This window comes from Homo sapiens, chromosome 2 (genome assembly GCF_000001405.40).
Source record: "Homo sapiens chromosome 2, GRCh38.p14 Primary Assembly".
Lineage (NCBI taxonomy): Eukaryota > Metazoa > Chordata > Mammalia > Primates > Hominidae > Homo > Homo sapiens.
Genome location: NC_000002.12, coordinates 158,010,501 through 158,032,138, shown reverse-complemented (window position 1 = coordinate 158,032,138; position 21,638 = coordinate 158,010,501). Strand labels below are relative to the sequence as shown.

The 21,638-nt window shown below is 41.9% G+C and overlaps 1 protein-coding gene across 1 annotated transcript in view; it reads right to left on the bottom strand.

The window, feature by feature from the left end:
• The window catches only part of UPP2 (uridine phosphorylase 2), a 140,976-nt gene that overhangs the window by 104,016 nt on the left and 15,322 nt on the right, over positions 1-21,638 (bottom strand). The window contains exon 2 of the mRNA NM_001135098.2: positions 16,253-16,338. Within this exon, the coding sequence (NP_001128570.1) occupies positions 16,253-16,338 (86 nt within the window). The remainder of the gene's footprint in view (positions 1-16,252; positions 16,339-21,638) is intronic.

Below are 21,638 nucleotides of genomic sequence, written 5' to 3'. Positions count from 1 at the left end.
GTCAGGATTCTCTTCTCCAGAGCAGAGATTCCCCAATTCTTTTGATCTTCATCTATCATAGTTTACAGACCCTGTACCATTCCGGCAGCTCTCTCCTGGGAAATTTCTGGTTTCCAGAGTCTCTCATGAAAGTTGCCACCCAGAGGGGAACACAATATTCAGCTGTATGAAGATGTGTGCTCTGAATGATGAACATACTCGAGGGAGGTATCTTGGTGATAATGGTGATGATCATGATCACGATCAAATTCTAACCACCTTTTAAAACACGAGGAAATTGCTAAAGAAAGAACGCTAGTATTTTACCCATCCAAGGGATTCCAGTTTTGAAGAAAACCAAAAATGTAGGAAATGCAGTCACCTGGATTGTGGCAGACATTGAATCTACTTTCTCAATGTTATTTCATAGCCTTCTGATGGTAGAGTTGTGGTTTGAGTGAGTTATACAAAGAAGTTCATGTATCTGATTAAACAGCTTTATGTGTTACCAACTGGAAAGATAACTATGGCCTTCCAAACCGACACTGGCTGCCTCTGCAGATCCTTGTTAGAATAGAGCTGGCTCGGAACCTCAGCGGTCCTGGAGATGTTCCAACAGCTCAGGTTTCCCAGATCTCTGCACTCCTCACCCATCCCTAAGCCTCCTCCAGGGCCTCAAAATCTCGGAAGTCCCTTCAAAGAGCCAAATTAAGAGAATGAAATCATCAAATGTATGAAGAAAACCACCAGGAAGAAACAATTTCCTTTTCTCCAAGTCCCTCAACATACCAAGCAATGCCTTACGTAGGTTTAGGGCTTGGGAGGCCAGATTATGCTTTAGTTCTTGAGGGCCTTTTATGTAGCCACAGGACCTTACGTGAGTGAATTCTCCTTCCTGGCCCTCACTTTACTTCCTACTCCAAAATCTATGAACCTAAAGTCTACAACTAATGAAGGAGGAAAGCCTGATAAGAAATCAAATGATTCCCCTAATCACTCCAGCCCACACTGATCTTTTGTTTTCTTTTAATTCTGAGGCATTTATTTTCTGTACCATTTATTTAATTTTAATATTTTGCTGCCTTCTTATTTTTATTCTCATAAATAAAAGGATAGTAAGCTCTAGGAAAAAAAAAATAACACAACTCATCTAATGCCCTTGGAAAGTTGAGGGAACTGACTGGCCTAAAGTTGCAAAGCTGATTAGTACAAGAGTACAGATAACCATCCCAGCTAGATGCTAAGCTCCCAAGAGGTCAGAAGAGAACAGGTTGACACATCCTTCTTTTTAGATCCAACCAGCAGCTCACTTTTAATAGATGTGCCTCAGGTCACCTTAATAGCAAACTAGGTTAGGTCTTGGGTCTATGACTGAAGGCTTCTTAGAGAAGTGGGATGAAAAGGAACTGCCCCTGGGACATTTAGTTATCCTGGCTGTCATCTACTAAGCTGTAGGATCTTCTCATATTCATAATCTCTTACCTTAAATGTGGTGGTATTTTGAAAGACAGTAGCTGGGCTTAGACATCAGCCCAAGCAAGGCATAGCTCACAGTCTCAATGCCCTACCCTGTCACCTGGAGTCCTGATGAAGTTTCTGCCCAAACAGAAAGTTGGGGCACCCTTTATTCTCCAAGCCTTAACTTCAGGAGTCTGTTGCCACAAACTTACACAGAACAGAAATCTATATGGTGATTATAACATATGCTCAAATATAAGATGGCCACAAATACAAAGTGATTTCCCATAAGAACAGCCAAAGGAAAAGTTTTTGGCCAATTTGAATATATAAACTTTCAGGGATATGGATGAAATATTCAATTGTCTACTCATAATAATTTGTTAATTAAATTACTTGTTGATATTAAAAATCATGTACTACCTAAAATAATGCTTAATTTAGAATTTCTTGCCACCCTCATGTTTCAGAATAATTTTGTACATTCTCAAAATATATTTTCCATGTTCGTTGTCTCTTTCATCATAATCGCCAATTTTTTATCTTTTACCAACTTGTCCAGAGCACATTGTTTGACATACAGCACTTTTTGAAATCGTGTGAGATGATGTCTGTAAAATTTCTTTCAAACCATAAACTTTCCTAACAGTAGGGGTTCCCATTCATTCTATAAGTTGACAATACAACTACTTCCCTTTTTGCTATTTTGTGTTTTCAAAACCCAAATTTGAAAGTTTGAAGGACTACCCTAAGGAATAATTACGAAATCTGTGTCAAATTGCCATGCCTGCTTTCTAAAACGCATTTTTGTAAGATGTTCTCTATAAAACTGTAGAACTAGCAGTGATTGAATCATTTCAGGGAATGTATCTTTCCTAAATAGTGTTTTAAAAAAAAAAAAAAAAAGAAACGAGATGACCTAGAATATGAGAAACTTCAAGAAGTCTTGAATAATACCTCTATTTATATCTGTGTCTATTTTTATGTCTATGTCTCCCTCCCTTTGTGAAATAACTTTGAAGGAAAAACTTTGCCTTATAGGTAAGGAGTGCCCAGTTTATACCTGTTTTCTGGAGTAATTATTAATAGTGCATTCTTTTATGCTCAAAAGTGTCCCAGTTTGGACAATATATTCAGTTGCCACTCTACTGATGGCAAGGAATATGCTATATATTATAAATCTGTAGCCTTGTCAAGGCATTCACCATATTGGCCATTCAGTAAGCTTCCTATAAAGCTAATATCTGCATGGCAGCCAGATGGAACTTGAAGGCATGGTGCTTGGAAATTAAAGCAATGTAACTAATTATCTAAAGTGATATTACAATGTGTAAGATACTGAAAATTTGACTATCAGTCAACACAGCATCTGCTTCAAAGAAAACATTTTTTTAAAGCATCTTTATTTTTTAGAAATCTAATTATGAGGAACTCAGTTACGAAGTGCTGCTTTGATCTTAGAACAGTACATTTAGTTTATTATTAGTTTAAACTAGATATTTTGTTTAATATCTCTAAATATTTGGAGATAAATTGTCCTTATTAACTTACTTTACCATTGAACCATTCAGACTTACAATGATGTCTTGTTTAAGGCAAAATTTATTTCCAAAGGACTGTCTTGAAAGTGAGTGCATTATGTGGAATGAGGGGCGAGTGAACAGATAGACTGGCTGCAAAGAGCTCTGGGCTGACGAAGCTCTGATCAGAAATCCAAGCCTTGGGCAAGCCTGCCAGCCTTCCTCACTTTCTCATGTGTTGTGGGAGGGGCCTGGTGGGAGATAATTTGAATCATAGGAGTGGTTTCCCCTATACTGTTCTTATGGTAGTGAATAAGTCTCATGAAATCTGATGCTTTTATCAGGGGGTCTCTGCTTTTGCATCTTCCTCATTTTCTCTTGCTGCCGCCATGTAAGAAGTGCCTTTTGCCTCCTGTCATGATTCCGAGGCCTCTCCAGCCATGTGGAACTGTAAGTCCAATTAAACCTCTTTTTCTTCCCAGTTTTGGGTATGTCTTTATCAGCAGCATGAAAACAGACTAATTCAGTAAGTTGGTACCAGAAATGGGGTGTTGCTGAAAAGATACCTGAAAATGTGGAAGCAACTTTGGAACTGGGTAACATGCAGAGGTTGGAACAGATTGGGGGGCTCAGAAGAAGACAGGAAAATATGGGAAAGTTTGGAACTTCCTAGAGACTTGTTGAATGGCTTTGACCAAAAGCCTATTAGTGATATGGACAATAAGGTCCAGGCTGAGGTGGTCTCAGATGGTGATGAGGAGCTTGTTGGGAACTGGAGCAAAGGTGACTCTTGTTATGTTTTAGCAAAGAGATTGGCAGCATTTTGACCCTGCCCTAGAGATTTGTGGAACTTTGAACTTGAGAGAGATGATTTAGGGTATCTGGTGGAAGAAACTTCTAAGCAGCAAAGCATTCAAGAGATGACTTGAGTGTTAAAGGCATTCAGTTTTATAAGGGAAGCAGAGCATAAAAGTTTGGAAAATCTGCAGCCTGACAATGTGATAGAAAAAGAAAAACCCATTTTCTAAGAAGATATTCAAGCAAGCTGCAGAAATTTGCATAAGTAAGAGGAGCCAAATGTTAATCTCCAAGAAAATGGAGAAAATGTCTCCAGGGCATGTCAGAGATCTTCACAACAGCCCCTCCCAACACAGGCCCAGAGGCCTAGGAGAAAATGGTTTCGTGGGCCTGGCCCAGGATCCCAGTGCTGTGTGCAGCCCAGGGACTTGGTGCCCTGCATCCCAGTCACTCCAGCCGTGGCTGAAAGAAGCCAATGTAGAGCTCAGGCCATGACTTTAGAGGATACAAGCCCCAAACCTTGGGAGCTTCCACATGGTGTTGAGCCTGCAAGTGCACAGAAGTCAAGAATTGGGGTTTGGAAACCTCCGCCTAGATTTCAGATGTATAGAAATGCCTGGATACCCAGGCAGAAGTTTGCTGCAGGGGTGGGGCACTCATGGAGAATTACTGCTAGGTCAGTGCAGAAGGGAAATGTGGGGTCAGATCCCCCACACAGAGCCCCTACTGGGGTACCGTCTAGTGGAGCTATGAAAAGAGGGCCACCATCCTCCAGACTCCAGAATGGTAGATCCACCAACAGCTTGCACCATTTGCCTGGAAAAGCCACAGACACTCAATGCCAGCCCATGAAAGCAGTCAGGAGGGAGGCTGTACCCTACAAAGCCATAGGGGTGGAGCTGCCCAGGATCATAGAAACTTACCTCTTGCATCAGTGTGACCTGGATGTGAGACCTGGAGTCAAAAGAGATCATTTTGGCGCTTTAAAATTTGACTGCCCCGCTGGATTTCGGACTTGCATGGGTCCTGTAACCCCTTTGTTTTGTCCAATTGCTTCCATTTGGAATGGCTGTATTTACCCAATACCTGTACCCCCATTGTATCTAGGAAGTAACCAGCTTGCTTTTGATTTTACAGGCTCATAAGTGGAAGGGACTTGCCTTGTCTCAGATGAGACTTTGGACTGTGGACTTTTCAGTTAATGCTGAAATGAGTTAAGACTTTAGGGGACTGTTGGGAAGGCAATGATTGGTTTTGAAATGTGAGGACATGAGATTTGGAGGAGCCGGGGTGGAATGATAAAGGTTTGGCTGTGTCCCCACCCAAATCTCATCTTGAATTGTACTCCCATGATTCACAAGTGTTGTGAGAGGGACCCGGTGCGAGATAATTTGAATCATGGGGGCAGTTTCCCCCATACTGTTCTCGTAGTAGCGAATAAGTCTCAAGAGATCTGATAGTTTTATCAGGGGTTTCCGCTTTTGCATCTTCCTCACTTCTTCTTGCTGTCACTATGTAAGAAGTGCCTTTCCCCTCCCACCATGATTCTGAGGTCTCTCCGGCCATGTGGAAATGTAAGTCCAATTAAACCTCTTTTTCTTCCCAGTTTTGGGTATGTCTTTATCAGCGGCATGAAAATGGACTAATACAGACTGCTTGCCTGTTATATTTTATATTAAACATGACCTGGTCATCTCATGGCAGTCAGCAGGTTTGAACTCTTTCTGTGTGGCCAACTTTGGGAAGCCACTCTCCTGGAGCCACAGGTAATGTCATGGAAAAAGAGTCTTGCCAAGGCGGTGACTTATGAAGTATCCCCTCTCCTCAACCATATATGCATCTCCTCCATCTACCAAGCAGCACAGAGAGGGTTCCCATGAGATATAGTCCTAGAGAGACGCTCGTTCTTACATTGGGAACATGAGTCCTGCTCTCTGTATATGCTGTCATCCAATTTTGCCTGCAGTGAGCTGGCCTGATCAGAGAACAACCAAAGGACAGCTGTCCCTCAGAACAATCAGGACCTTGAGACCTTTACTTGGGCCCCACACTGTCCTACTTTCTGCTTGAGAGCTGAAGGCATATTTCTAGAAAGAAGGCAGCCTAAGCACCAAGGGTAATGCTCTGGGAATTTTCAGCCCCCGATGCTGCTCTGCGAGGATAAGAGAAGAGGCAGAAAGAGAAACCTCTTAGAATCCTCTCCCACACTCTCCAAATATCTAAGAAACCAGGCCGCCTCAGGTCTCTTGTCGACAAGAGCTTTCCCTTCCCACCATTTCCTAACCTCACAAAGAGCACGACGGGAGATACAATGAAGAAGGCTGGAGAGGAAGGCCTCAGCTATGGAGGCTGCTGTACTTCATCACCACCTCTTATGTCCTGGTGGCCTTTTGCCTCCCTCGATTATGTCCTCTTTCTTTCCGGGGCTGCTTCTTCCAGACGAAGCTGAAATGAGAGGGTAGGATGTGAGGCCAACTTTCCCATGTGCCCTTGGAACACGAGGATGTGATGTTTATCCCTCCAGACCCCCTTCTACTGACCTCTCTACGCACATTGTTCTGGAATTCAGATGCGTCAGAGGATGTCTTCCGTGTGAGGCTCTGGCCAGGAGTTGCTCTCTGAACTAATTTTACACAGATGTGTACACATATGGCCCAAAGCCCACTAAGTGACCAGCAGCCTTGTCCCCAGCATTCTCTGCTGGTCTGATGCCATTGCTATATTTTCCAACCTATCCCTGTGGAATGGTGACCGTGGCCTCACCATAAACCCCAACTACTGGCTGCTCTGTCCTTGAGGTCACAGGCTGGCAGTGACCTTGCCAGTGGCTCGGCCTCCCGGAGGCTTGAGGCAGGGCTTCTTGGCTTGCAGTTGCACTGTGGTGAGTCCTCAAGGCCTCCTGTACCCTGCTCTTAGCCTGTTTGGCTTCCCTCCCCTGTAGCTGCTCCTCCCTGCAGGCCTGCTGGCCTCCACACTCCAGGACAGTTAGGATAACATCTAAAGCACGTGGAGTTGCTGGGAAGAAAGGCTCAGGTCTGCATCAGCCAAGCCACAGCTCTGCTGTCATTTTTGGTCCACAATGGCCCTGGGGTTATTGCATTTATCCAGAGCATTTCCACACCCACACCCTTCCCTCCACCCTGACCTTTTTATATTTTCTGATCTTTTTTTTTTTTTTTTTTGAGAGGGAGTCTTGCTCTGTCACCCAGGCTGGAGTGCAAAGGCACGATCTCAGCTCACTGCAGCCTCCACCTCCCGGGTTCAAGCGATTCTCCTGCCTCAGCCTCCCAAGTAGCTGGGATTACAGGCACCCCGCCATCATGCCTGGCTAATTTTTATATTTTTGTAGAGACGGGGTTTCACCATGTTGTCCAGGCTGGTCTTGAACTCCTGACCTCAGGTGATTCACCCGCCTTGGCCTCCCAAAATGCTGGGATTACAGGTGTGAGCCACTGCACCTGGCCCTATTTTCTGATCTTGATTATGCACCAATAAAAAGAAAAATTTACCAGATGATAATTTTTTTTTATTTTTTATGACCAGATTGCACCTGCTACTTTTCCAAAAAGCCAACTTTTCAGAATGCTTTAAAAAACACTCCCTTTAAGTGACACATTTCATTTTGCAAAGACTATGGCTTTTTCTCAAACAGATTTTTATCTTTTTTCTGGGGTCTGATGTGGAAACCTCACTAAATTCCTCCATCTAGATCATGTCAGTATTTGATTAAAATGTGAGTTTGAAGGCTCTCCTGTGAAGCCATTTCTTCTTGCATCCTTTTAAAATTAACACTCACGTTAAAAACTGATGACATTTAACATTGAAAATAAGCTAAACCTGATGGTAACTCTCTGAGCTCTTCAAATTGACGCCGAAGGTGGCCACCTTGTGGCTGTTGTGGAAACTGCCACTTAGACCTGATTTTTCCCAGGCGTTGGGGCCCTACTGCTAATTAAATTAAATGACTCTTAAGATTATCTTTTCCCATGCAGTTTACATCCCAATCCTGCTCCTCTACAGGTCAACTTGTAGTGATATCCTGGCAGTTTGGGGGCAAGAAAGCTATTCTAAATGGCCTCAGTGGGTTAGTTGAAAGAAACCTTTTGGTCCTTAAACTAAGGAGAAGAGATAACCTCCCAGGAAGCCCAGGTCTTTGTCTTCCTCAAACCTTATATGCTCTAAGTCCCATATTTTAAAAAATATGCTCCAGGGGATCCCTATATCCGCATTCCTGGGTAAGATCTTTAAAATGCAGGTTGCTGGGGTCCCTCCTCAAGACCTAAGAATTGGAATGTCTAAGTCCTGGGATTTGCATTTTAAACAAATTTCTCAGGTGAATTTTTAATGCACATTCAAGTTCTAACAATGCTACATTTTAGTCTACTAAGGAAAGAAACTGGAGACCTAACATATGAAATGCTTTTGACGCAGGCAATCTCCCTTGGGCCCTGGGAGGGAGGGGATCCAGAGCTGAAGAGAGCTCAAGAGACCAATGCAGGAGTTCTCAAAAGCCCCTGACAACCCAAATGTTTGCTGCTTGAACATAGGAGGCTCCACCACAGTGACCTGGCAACTTCGGTCGAACCCTCTAAACAAGAAGCCATGGGCCACCAGAAGAGTGGCTGCTTGTGTATGGTGTCTCCCTCTGGCCTGCATAGGAAGCAGCAAAAGGCAGTTAGAAGGAGAGGCACCTCTGCTGGCTACTCCATCACCCCCACCCAACTCCCACCGTGTCCACCCCACCCCAAAGCTCCATGTCCCAACTCGATGTGAAAGGCAAGAGACCAGCTTCCAGGCCAGGCTCTCCTGCTGACCAGCTTTGTGAACTTGGACAGGTCGCTGGCTTCAGGTGTTATTGCTGTAAATGGAAGTAGCCAGATAACCATCACTTAGCTTCTTTCCAATTCTAACATTCTGTGATCTCATTTTGAGCTTTCAGAGGGAGAGGAGGCTCTTTATGAGAAGTGATCATGGGAGTCCAGATTCCAAGCTTAGCATTAAGCCTTTGCTGTTTGTAGCAATTAATTATTATGGAGTGTCACTGAGAATTGAGATCCTCTGCCAATACAAAAACAATAAACTTTTGCAATGTCAATTCTCTACATTGGGGGTAAAGCAGCACTGGACTGAAAGCCTTCCAAATGCCCCCCCCCAACTGACAGCAACCCCATGACCTCATCACACCCTCCCCTCCTCATGCACTATTCTCCAAAGACTTTAACACACCCCATCCTCACACACGCCCTTCCCACACCCACCCCCACCTCCCAATCAGGCCTCCTGTCTCTGAACCCACTTCCTGCTCTAGCATTCATCTTGTTGGGTGCTGAGATACCTGTAAGAATGTCTAGGTGGAGACTTCACCCAGATCATCCTTCTTATCCTTTCAAGATCATTGCCCCCAGGTGCCACTGCTCTGAGACTCCACCATTCCCTATGCATACTCAGCTCAGTTCTTAACCTGTGACATTATAATCATCTGCTTTTATGCCTGTATCCCTAAATGGAAGATCTGTGGCTGCCACATACTGAATATTCAATAAATGTTTCCTTGAATGAATGACAGTAGGAATGAAAGAATGAGTGGATAAATAAGGAATTAAGAAGATGCAAGCTGACTATCGTACAGAACCTCTATACCTATTCTTTGCACAAGTCTGGATGAGGAAAGAAGAACCTGGTCCAGACTGTCTTGACTCTGGAGCATTTTGGGGAGAAGATGGGAATGGAGGGCTGTGCCTGCAGTAGAAGTAGCATGGTAGGTTATCAAAGCACAGGTCAGTGAAATCAACTATTGTGTGGTGTCAATTTAGTGGGTTCAGACCAACATTTTTAAATGAAGTATAACATAATAGAATAAATTAGAAAACATGTCTCTTAGTAAGTTCCAGTACAGCTTTATGGAACTTTTTTTTTTTTTTTTTTTGAGACAAGTCTCACTCTGTTCCCTGGGCTGGAGTGCAGTGGTGTGATCTTGACTCACTGCAACGTCCGCCTCCCGGGTTCAAGCAATTCTCCTGCCTCAGCTTCCTGAGTAGCTGGGATTACAGGCGCCCGCCACTACGCCCAGCTAATTTTTTGTATTTTTAGTAGAGACAGGGTTTCACCATGTTGGCCAGGCTGGTCTCGAACTCCTGACGTCGTGATTCGCCCGCCTCGGCCTCCCAAAGTGCTGGGATTACAGGCATGAGCCACCGCACATGGCCAAGACTTTTATTATATAGACATGTGCAAAATATACTTCTTTACTACACACAGTGGTCAAAAAATGTAGAAGCCACTCATCTAGGAAATACTTCCTAATACTTTACTAAATACTTCATTGACTCAATTTGAAAAAAAAAAAAACTGCTGACTTTATGGTATGGCTTCCATTTATTGGAATGTGGGGATCCATTTGTCAGGAAATGTATATGGATTCCATGATGTTTTTGAGAGAGCTATATATTTTCTAATTACTTGAAATGATAATGATCTGATCTCATCTAATTTCAATTATGTTCAGAATAGGTATCTTTCATAGAGATAAATAATTTAAGAAAATTTTCCTAAAATAGGGACCTTCCCTCTGTTTTGTCTTTTATGTCTCCCCATGTAGAGCCTGTCTATGATGATAGTATAATACTAGCTCTCTCTCTTTCCTACCAAGGTGAAAAAGCCATTTTCTAAGAGTTAGTAGAAAAGAAGTGATAAAAGCAAATTAAAAATCTTAAATTCCAATATCAAACTTTGATAAATCTATCTAAATATCTCCATGGGAAATCATAGTGACAGGTGAGATAATAAAATTAAAATCTCAAAGGAAGGCAAATATCAACTAGCTTTGTTAAGAACATGAATCCAAGCACATAGGATACAATTTCTTCTCTGCTGTGTTTTGTTCTCCTCCGATGAACAGACAGCCATGTGTTAGGCTTTCCCTGGTTTGGCCATAACACTGTCCCCAGTCTCGTCTGTTGACACCATATGGGATTGTCACGCTTCTTTGTTTATGAAGAGTCTCCTGGAATCTTAAAATTAAGTTTCAGTATCAGACCAGCATCCAAAACCAATCCAGATACATACTTAGACTGGCTTGGTGTTTAAAAAGACTTCATGTTAACAGTTAAAAGTCAGAACATTTCTTTTAAAAATTAGGGTTCTTGACTTCTCTTGGAAAGGTTAAAATATTTAGAAGTGCAAGACCCATATTACTGCATGGAGACTATTGCTCTTAACCTAGGTCCAGGGGACCCCTGTGTTTTGATACAGTTTCCTCTGTAATCCTATGTATTTTATTTTCTTTATTTAAAAGCGTCATCTTGAGAAGGGATCCATGGGCTTCACTAGACTGCCAGAGGGGTTCATGGCCCAATAAAGGCTGAGACCATCCTAGAGTAGAGCCAAGCAGCAGCTGTCCCCTCGATCCCTGTTCTCATCATTCTTTACTTTCTCTGAAGCCATGCATCTGTTTTCATTTTCCATTGCACTAACAATTTTCCTGGAGTCAAGAAATATTTTCCTGTAATTATGTCTCTATCAAAAATTGGAAAAAGAAAAATGAATTGAGGGTTTTGGAATTCTTACACTAAGCTGCTCCACTTATTTATGCCAGCTCACTGGCCTCTGGTCCACAGGGATTGTGTTTAACATCCTTGATCACCAGTGAAGCACAGCCACCAACCAGTCAGAATGGTTGTCATCTGTGCACGAACAATGCTGGTGCATGCCCTGTGAACCTCAGCCCTGTGCCTGGAGGATTTCCATCCCTGCTTCAGCAGGCTTCTCTAGCTCTCTGGGTGTCATTCCATGTTGCATCTGTCCTTCTTCCTGGAATATCAGGGAGTGTGAGCAGTGGGCTATTTGGAGTGTGCTTGGGAGCATCCTGGGGAACTAGGAGAAGATCAATTTCTCCTTTTTGGCAAAGGAGCAGAGATGCCAGCTCCACCCTGCCGTCCAGTCTCTGGACTTGAGGGGAAATGGAGCTGATCATCATCATGTCCGCACTTGTCCTGCATAGTGCAGTTAACAGAGCTGTCTCCCTGGGCCCTCAGCTGAGAGATCCTCATACCAAACCTTCTGAAGAAAGAGCTGGAACTAACGCCACTTTGCAAAGGAGGACCATGGACAGTCGAAGAACAGGAGCAGTGAAGTCAGAAGGAGAACACAGACCTGCATTTTAGTCCACTCAAACACTTCGAAAACACTCGCTCCTCAAGGGAAGTGACTTTTGGGGATTTCCACAGCAAGTGCTTAATAAGGCTTTTTTTAAAAAAAACAAAAACCAAACAGGCCTTGTTTAATGCATTAATATTTTAACAGAGCAAGTCTGGGCCTTTCAAGCAAATCTAGTCGCTATTCAACAGTCACCTTAGCCTTTATGCTAGGTATAAAGAGACAGATTTTGGATTTTGTATGGAAGATGGGCTTTTTGTGACAGTAAAATGTTTTATTTTATTTTTACAAATTATAATACAATAAAATCGACTTTTTCTTTTGGTGTATAAAATTTTAACCCATGTGTAAATTTACGTAACCACCTTCAGGATACAGATCTATCACTCTAAAAAACTCCTGCATGCTAGTTCTTTGTCTTAAAAAATATATATACTGATGTACATGTAAAATGGAAGCTACAAGGATATTTGTAAAATAAAGTGTACATTTTATCCATATGAAATCAAGATAGAATTTCTCTCTCTCTCTCTGTCTTTCTTGTGTGTGTGTGTGTGTGTGTGTGTGTGTGTGTGTGTGTGTGTGTGTGTTTTAAAGGATTGTATTTCCTTCCACTTTGGAGGATATAAATTCTTGAGAAATAACCTATACAGGCTATCATTAAAGAGAATTTTCAATAATTCTTTAAAGCAATATGATGGTTTGACCATTTTCAGATTGTGACGGAAGGCATAAGAGGAAGCAAGATGAACCACTGGGGTGGTGCCTAAACATAGCGGCCCCAGGAGTGAGGCTTCTGAACATTTTCCCCACCCCAACCCACAAGGTCTTCTGCGCCTATACTACTCCCCGCTCCGTCCTCCAGCAATGGATCTGTATATCTCTCCAGGTTTGTCCTCTCTTCTCTCTCCTGCCTCCTTTCATATCCCACCAACTTGCCTCTTTTTTACCTTCTGTGGAGACAAAAGTGACTCCATCTTGGATGCTAATCCACCATCTTGACTTTCCATCAGCCCCAGTTCTAGGAAGGCCTCCTGATTCCTCCTTTATTTACTGACCCTAGTGCAAGAACATGTGCTCCTGATTTTAGATCAAAGCAATCTTGATGTTTTCACACAAATTATAGGCTATGACACATATAGCATTCTTGCTTGTTCTGGATGGTTTAATTGTCTTGCTAGAGTATGTATACCCTTTCCTTATGGTGGATAAGACTTGGGTTTGTGGAGTAACCATGTGGAGATCTACCTATCTTGGGGCCACGCAAGACCATGCTTCTGTCTATAAGTTCCCTCAATAAATTACCCAATACAAACAAAGTGGATTTGTCTACCACCTCCTTTAGTTTCTTGGCTCCTTCGACATCTGGGAGCTGTTAAGCATATATGGCCGTTTTCACAGAGCTCCTAGGAAAAGGAGATATAAAGATCCAAGAAGAGTGGGAAAGAGAAGGTGTTCTGAGAGACAGGAATGTAAGAGTGTATTGACAAAAGGGAAAAGATATCCTTTTTCTGTCCCACTAAAAGTTTACCTAGTTTGGACTCTTCCTGTTCACCTAACATGGCCTAAAGTAACAGGTAGCTGTCCTCTCTCCCTACCTGCTTTCCAAATAGAGAGATTATGCAGCCCCCTTCCCCCACTGCCACCTGGGAAACAGCCATGCACCTGCCTTCCAGCCTTGCAGCCTGCTCTTCTGCACCCACTTGGTCGACCCTGCCCTTGGGCCCCTCCCTTAGAAGAAGGATGGGAGCTGAGAGAAAAGGGAGGAGGAGAGAGAGAAGAGAAGGGAGGAACAATGGGTACAGGTAAAAAGGAAGCTAATGCTCACTTGCATTCAGTGAATTCCTAATAAGAAAAAAAGACACAGTGCCAGGTTCACTGCCCTCTATAAATATTGGAACAGAGAATATTAGCATAATCCAAACCGTCTTAATAAGACTTCTGAATTCTGTAAACAAGTGCACCCTTACTAGATATTTTTGCAAGTAGCTATTTCTTGGGATATCACAGGAAGCGGAGCTTTTATTTAGTCACTAAAACTAGTGTCCTTTGGATAATGCTTACTATGACACCACATACGAGAGGCTGTTTAGTAAATGATTTTCATTGGTTATGATATCATCTAGTTATTCTATGTGTCTTCAGTGGGAAAGAGAAGAAATGCCTAAGTCAGTGGTTTTCTCATTTTTAAAACATTAATTATCATTACATCCAAATGAGGCTTCACATACAGTGTTAAGGTAAAGACCAAACTGTATTCATTGTGTATGCATATATATATGACATATATTTAATAGACTACAACTATACAACTATTTTCAAAGTATATAAGCTTAAAAAGAAGAAACAAAGAATAATAGAAAATGAATTGTTTGTGCTTCATTGAAAAATGTACAAGAGTTTGATATAATCGAAGAATTGCAACCCAGTGAAATTTTGGCCATAAGTAAAAAGCACTTGAACATCTTAATTAGTTTTGGAGTCAAATTTGGTTCCCCCTATATGGGAATGAACTCATCCCACAGGCCCACATCAGCTTACAGAGTTGTATGCCCAAAAACGAATAACTACATAAACCAGATACTGAGAGTATGAACTTTTCCCAGTTTCAACACTCAGCTATGCAAAGATTTGACTTTATGTTTCTATAATACCTAGCTTTAACTTTTGAATCCTTGTTTCAACTTGGTAGCAGAAATGTTAAGTGTGCCCATTTGAGGTAAAACTTAGTTACTTCTAGAGTTAAAATCTGTAAGTTTTGGGTAAATAGCCATTTCAAGATGCATCCCTGCTCCTGCTTGCTGCTGCTTCCTTCCAGGAGAGATATAAGTACTAAGATGACTTCTGTATTGCCCAGAAAGGTAAATTTATGGCTTAAATATGTTGTTCTATTATTCACAAGGTACCTCTGGGTCACCTTTGCTATAAAAGTGGAGACTATTTTTAAAATAAAGTTAGGACACACTCCATAAAAGTTTTACAACTCACTTAAAATCATAGAAGAGCTGTATATTTCAAGATGAAGATTTAAGCTCTGGTTATTTAACAGGGTCTTAAGAGGCAGGAATTGCTGTGTCAACTAATGTTGTGCACTATATTTCATTACTGCCTTTATGTTTTTTTAAATACCTCAAGAATAAAGTTTATTTAAAATGTCACACTTTGCAAACTGCACATTATATCCATAGAATATGCTAGTACCACTCCCATTCCTTTTATTTATTACAGTAGATTAGTTATGGACCCTCTGCTATAGTATCTTGGCTTATTAAGATGCTGCATGCTAAAAAGCATAGATGGCCCTGTAATGAGCAGTTACAAAATCAAGTCACCAATTCTTCCTTGGCTTTCTTTTTTGTTCAGAGGGAAAAATTGAGGATTTGACCTGTGCCTGAAACATTAACCACCTGATTCTGCTTGTGGGGTGGGGACAGAAAAGGGCCCTCTCAACACTTAATTATTGAGAAATCCTCCGTATCTCTCCAGGATTATAGAAAAGGATTAACAATCATCAAGGTTGCTTGAACAAATCTCAAGTTCAAATTCCAGAGGAAGACGGGATGGTCTAGGGTGATCAAAACCTAGACCCAGGGCTGGGTGCAGTGGCTGACACCTGTAATACAGCACTTTAGATGCCGAGGCAGGCAGATCACTTGAGGTCAGGAGTTCAAAACCAGCCTGGTCAACATGGTGAAGCCCTGTCTCTACTAAAAATACAAAAATTAGCTGGGTTTGGTGGCGGGTGTCTATAATCCCAGCCACTTGGGAGGCTGAGGCAGGAGAATCGCTTGAACCCAGGAGGTGGAGGTTGCAGTGAGCTGAGATAGCACCATTGCACTCCAGCCTGGGCAACATGAGCGAAATTCTGTCTCAAAAAAAAAAATCATCTAATTCACAAGAATTTTTTTTGCTAATATAAGTCATCCATAAACCTCTATGAAAGGTGAGCCCTTTATGAGACAACTTGATCCCTATAAAGTATTCAATAAACACAATGGGCACTAAAAGACAGTCTTAATGAAATGGGACAATTTAGAAATATTTTCTTAATTGACATCAAGAAAAAGTAATTTAAAAAAAAAATCTGTTAGTTTTTTTTTTTTTAAACAAGTGTTAGTGAGGATGTGGAGAAACTGGAGCCCTTGTGCACTGTTGGTGGCATTACAAAATGGGGCTACTGCCATGGAAAATAGTGTGGTGGTTCTCCAAAAAATTAAAAATAGAATTACCATATGACCCAGCAATTTCACTTCTGGGTATATGCGTTAGTCCTTTTTCATACCACTATAAAGAACTACCTGAGACTGGGTAATTTATGAACAAAAGAGGTTTAATTGACTCACAGTTCCACAGGCTGTACAGGAAGCATGGCTGGGAGGCCTCAGGACACTTACAATCATGGTGGAAGTTGAAGGGGAAGCAGGCACATCTTACCATGGTGGAGCAGGAGAGAGAGACAGAGAGCAAAGGGGTAAGTGCCACACACTTTCAAACAACCAAATCTTGTGAGAGCTCACTATCACAAGAACAGCAAGGGGGAAGTCTGCCCCATGATTCAGTCACCTCCCGCCAGGCCCCTCCCCTGACACGTGGAGATTACAATTCAAGATGAGATTTGGTGGGAACACAGAGCAAAACCACATCCGTATATAACTAGAGTCTCAAAGAGATATTTGCACATCCATGTTCACAGCAGCACTATTCACAATAGCTAGGAAATAGAAGCAATCTAGATATCCAACAACAGATGAATAGATAAACAAAATGTGGCATATACATACAGTGGATTATTATTCAGCCTAAAAAAGGAAGGAAATTATGTCACATGCTGTAACATGGTTGAACCTTGAGGATATCATGTTAGGTGAAATAAGCCAGTCACAAAAAAAGATCAATACTGTATGATTCCACTTATATGAGGTATCTGAAGTAGTTAAATTCATAGAAACAGAAAGTAGAGTGGTGGCTGCCAAGAGCTGGGAAAGGGGGAGTGGGAAGTTGTTGTTTAATGGGTATAGAGTTTTAGTTGTGCAAGATAAAAAGTTCTGGAGATCTGTTTAACAAGAATGTGAATATACTTAACACTACTAAACTGTATACTTTAAAATGGTTAAGATGGTAAATTTGACATTGTGTGTTTTTGTTTAATTATAATTTTAAATCTGTTAGTTTCTCTAATGATCATAATGAAGATTAATTAAATTGTGCTCAAAAGATGTATTATGGGATAGGAATACAGGTAATTTTATTCTCTTTATTGTTGCTGGACCAAGTTTTCTGCTTCCTACATATCAGAATGGCTAGGCATTGCAAAATAATCTATCACCATAGAATCTAAGGATTCTTTTGGAATATAAGCATCATTTTCAAAAGTAATTTGTGATTCAAGAGTTGCTTAGAACCAAATTTCCCTAGGAAACTGAATGATTTGGGTGTTTTGTTATGGGGTGGAGGGAGAAGATGTGGTGGAAGTTGGCATGATCTCTATTTGGGTGGGGCTCTTTTTGTATTTTTGATAGAGAATAGCTGTATTAATCAGTAGTGTATTATAGAAGGCATATGTCTTATGTTTCATTGCTTGGTTTTATGTTGTGCAGCAGCAATTTGCTAACCACAGTCCTGAAGAAATATAGCCACGCAGCAAAAGAAGCATTTATTTTCAGAAACACATTTCTTTTCTGACATTACAGGGGAGTGGGAGGGAAGGTCCAGATTAACTGTACTTTTTAATAAGAGATGGAGTGCTATTGGAAAACTATTAAGGAAATTGTGGCTTTAGCTCAGATTCAAGGAAGCCCATAAGAAGAATTTACTACCTTCCAGCTTAATACTGCAGCAGGGCCAGTTCTACAGACCCACTGCTCCCTGAATGATTCTGGAGAGTATTTGCGAGCTGGGGTTGTTCTAGGAGAGGCAATCAGCCGCTGATGAGCTCCCCTGCTTAACTTTCCTAATTGATTCCACCAGACCTCCTAGTAGACTAGTTGCTAACCCTGCCCCATCCCAACTCTGGCCTGGCTCTTTCTGATGGCAGTCTTCAGAGACCATTTGCCAGTTTGGAGTTAGGCCTTGGAGCTGCAGAACAGGCTTGTAAAGCAGATGCGTAGTAAATGCTGCAGCCAAATGTACAGCACATTTTCCTAAGTGGAAATCCTGTGTTACAGACAGAACATTACTTAACAGTAGGTGGGCAGTTCAATCCTAAACAGCTCAGTTCTTCCCCATCAGAGACCCTGCAGAAGCAGGCTTCTGCCACAGCTGTGGGAGGAAGAACAGTTCTTGTAACTGTTAGGAGCAGACAGTGGCTAAGAGAAACAGTCTCTTGGGAAGTCCCTGTCTGTGATTTTCCTACGTAAACACAAGAAAACAAAACCCCTGGGCTTGTCGTTCACACAAGCAAGCCGCACAAAGCTTTCTTTCCTTCATCTGCATGTGCTAGTGTGCTGTTCTTCCTTTAGGTTTTACTGCTGCTTAAAGGTGTTTTTGTCCAGATATGTAAAGGTGCCTCGCCCTTCTCCTTCTCAGGAAAAATAACTATTTATTGAGTGCCTGTTGCCACGCAGGAACTCTGTATCCATCATCTCACCTCTTCCTCATCAAACACATCTCTTCCGAGTGAGTTGCCAAATTACACTGCTGGCTTCCCAACCTGAGGTTTTGCTTCTGTTTACATTTTACCAGAGCAAGAGAGAAAAAGTCACAAATGATGTGCTGTCTTCTCATCTTACTAATCCCCTCTTCCCCAAGCCTTTCCACATCTAGAATTAAATACCTGGGCCTTGGCAGCCAGGCCAACCCCTAACATTGGTAAAGCCCAGGCAAGAGCACAAATGGATGCCCATATGCCTAAAGCTGTAAGAGTTATAATGCCCCTTTAATGCATCCTCATGTCCACGTTGGATATGTGCATTAAAATTCATGAAAAAGAATTATTGGCCAGGTGTGATGGCTCATGCCTGTAATGCCAGCACTTTGGGAGGCCGAAGTCAGAGGATCACTTAAAGCCAGGAGTTTGAGACCAGCCTGTGCAACATAGTGAGACTCCATCTCCACAAAAAATAAAACTTTTTAAAAAAATTAGCCAGTTTTGGTGGCAATACCTGTGGTTTTAGCTACTCGGGAGACTGAGATGGGAGGATTGCTTGAGGCCAGGAGCTACGATTGCACCACTGCACTCCGGCCTGGGCAACAGCAAGAATCTATTTCAAAAAAAAAAATAATAATAACAATAGCTTAAATTCGAAACAATCTAAATATTCAACAATGGGGCATTGATGAATTTTATTATAATATTTCTCCATATAGTAGGGTATGAGATCATCACTTAAAATTTTTAGTAATAAGTTATTTTGAGTTTAAGTGAATAAAGATTATTAAAGTGTCTTTGTAATTATTGTTTTGTTTAAAGTATATGTACACATAAAAACATGATCCAACAAAATAGTTACCATCTCCTTGTAGTGACTTCATAAATTATATTTTCTTCTATGTATTAGTATTTTCTAAAAATTGGTATAATGAGGGAAATAAATAAATTTATAATAAAAATATTTGTATGCTTTAATAATTCTGTTTCCAGGAATCTCTTTTAAGGATCAAAGATGTGGTTAAATATCACAAGATAATTTATCACAATGTTATTCATAATTTTAAAATTATATCAGCTAGGCACGGTGGCTCACACCTGTAATCCCAGCACTTTGGCAGGCCGAGGTGGGTGGATCACTTGAGGTCAGGAGTTTGAGACCAGCCTGGCCAATGTGGTGAAAACCCGTCTCTACTAAAAATACAAACATCAGCCAGGTGTGGTGGCACGTGCCTGTAATCGCAGCTACTCGGGAAGCTGAGGCAGGAGAATCACTTGAATCCGGTAGGCAGAGGTTGCAGCGAGCCGAGATCGTTTCACTGTACTCCAGCCTGGGCAACTGGAGACCCCCTCTCAAAAAAAAAAAAAAAAAAAAAAAAAGGTAGAAACAATTCAGAAAGATTATTGAACCTTTGAAACTTCCTCATGCTTATTCTGTTCTTAAAATTTTCTCTTTTCCTCAGAGTGATTAGCAATCAAACTCTTTTTTAAAAGGCTTACATGTACTGGTCTATGCGGGCAGAGAGTACAGGGAGGCTCAGAGAGTGAGCATGCAAACACTAAAGGCAGGACCGCAGAGGAGAAGATACCCAAAGGATAAAAAAGATGCTCACTGAGTCAAGTAGATGAAAACCAGCATTCTTGGTGTAAGCTCTAAGCAAGAGGGGAGACCATATACGGCCATAGCCAGGGAGTGGAAAAACCCAGAATTTTAGAAGGAAAGGAACCTTGTGGTTTCTTCAGCTCCAGGAAATAGCAAACACACCCCTATCCCCACCCCACTACCATTTACACCTACCCTAGGATCTTCTATTCAATTAGAAAATCTTTCATTTATCGAGCAAATATTTGTTGAGTGATGTGCCAGGCATAGACAGGAGAGGAAAGGAGGAAGTCTGTTTGTTTCAATTAGCCAAGTTGGTTTATTCATCTCTTCCTTCTTTAAACAAATGGCTCCTTCCCTCCCTCCCTCCCTCCAGACAAGTGTTCTGTGTGAAAACTTGATCTTTTCACATGACCCTACATCCTCCTCCACAGTGATTGGTTCCCTTCAGTGGTGGACAACTTACCCAAGCTGAGCCTAGCTCCCTTGACCATTGCAATTGATCAAAGGGTGGTCATGTGGCCCAAAACAAGCCAATCAGACTTCTTCCCTAGCTTTTTTTCAAAACTTTATGGGAAAGGAGGGCTCCTTCTCTCCAGTTAGAGAGCCATGAGCCCAGATGTGAGCCTGGAAACTGTAAAGAGCCAGAAAAGAAGCAGAGGGGAAAAAGACAATGAGCAAAACACTCAGAGACGCAGGAGGGAGAAAGAGTCCTGCTGGCATTCAGAACCCTGTGTCAGGTCTTTCTGAATCACCCATTTCCTCTGTCCTTCTGGCTGTCTGGTTACCTGAGTCATTACCTTCGCATTCTTCTGAAGCTATTTCCTATTGTATTTCTGCCGTGTGAAACCAAAGGGTGTTCCCCAGCACAAGGGTTTGGAATTGCAGCGCTCTGTATGAGCTCTGGTAAGCCTCCTTGGCCTAGTGAAGCAGACAGGTGCCAGATCAGAAGCTTTATTAAGATAATGAGGGAGGAGGCCGGGCACTGTGGCTCACACCTGTAATCCCAACACTTTGGGAGGTCGAGGTGGGTGGATCATTTGAGTCAGGAGTTCGAGACCAGCCTGGCCAACATGGAGAAACCCCGTCTCTACTAAAAATACAAAAATCAGCTGGGCATGGAGGCGTGCACCTGTAGTCCCAGCTACTAGGGAGGCTAAGGCACCAGAATCACTTGAACCCAGGAGGCAGAGATTGCAGTGAGCCCAGATTGTGCCACTGCACTCCAGCCTGGGTGACAGAGCGAGACTCTGTCTCAAAAAAAAAAAAAAAAAAAAGAAAAAGAGGGAGCTAATGATGCTCTCATTGGAGGGAACTCATTGTATTACCTTTTACCTATTAATATAACTGTGCCTTCACTTAACATTAATGCAAACAATCCTTGTTGAATACCTGCCCTGTATTTCCCTCACCAGTTTTTGGCCTTTTAAATTGAATTCATGCATACCCGTTCTTCTTTCCTGCTTAATTTGATTCAGCCTACTAGGAAAGGTAAAAGGGAGGATTCCACTTATGCCCGTAACTGTGAAAATGCAACATA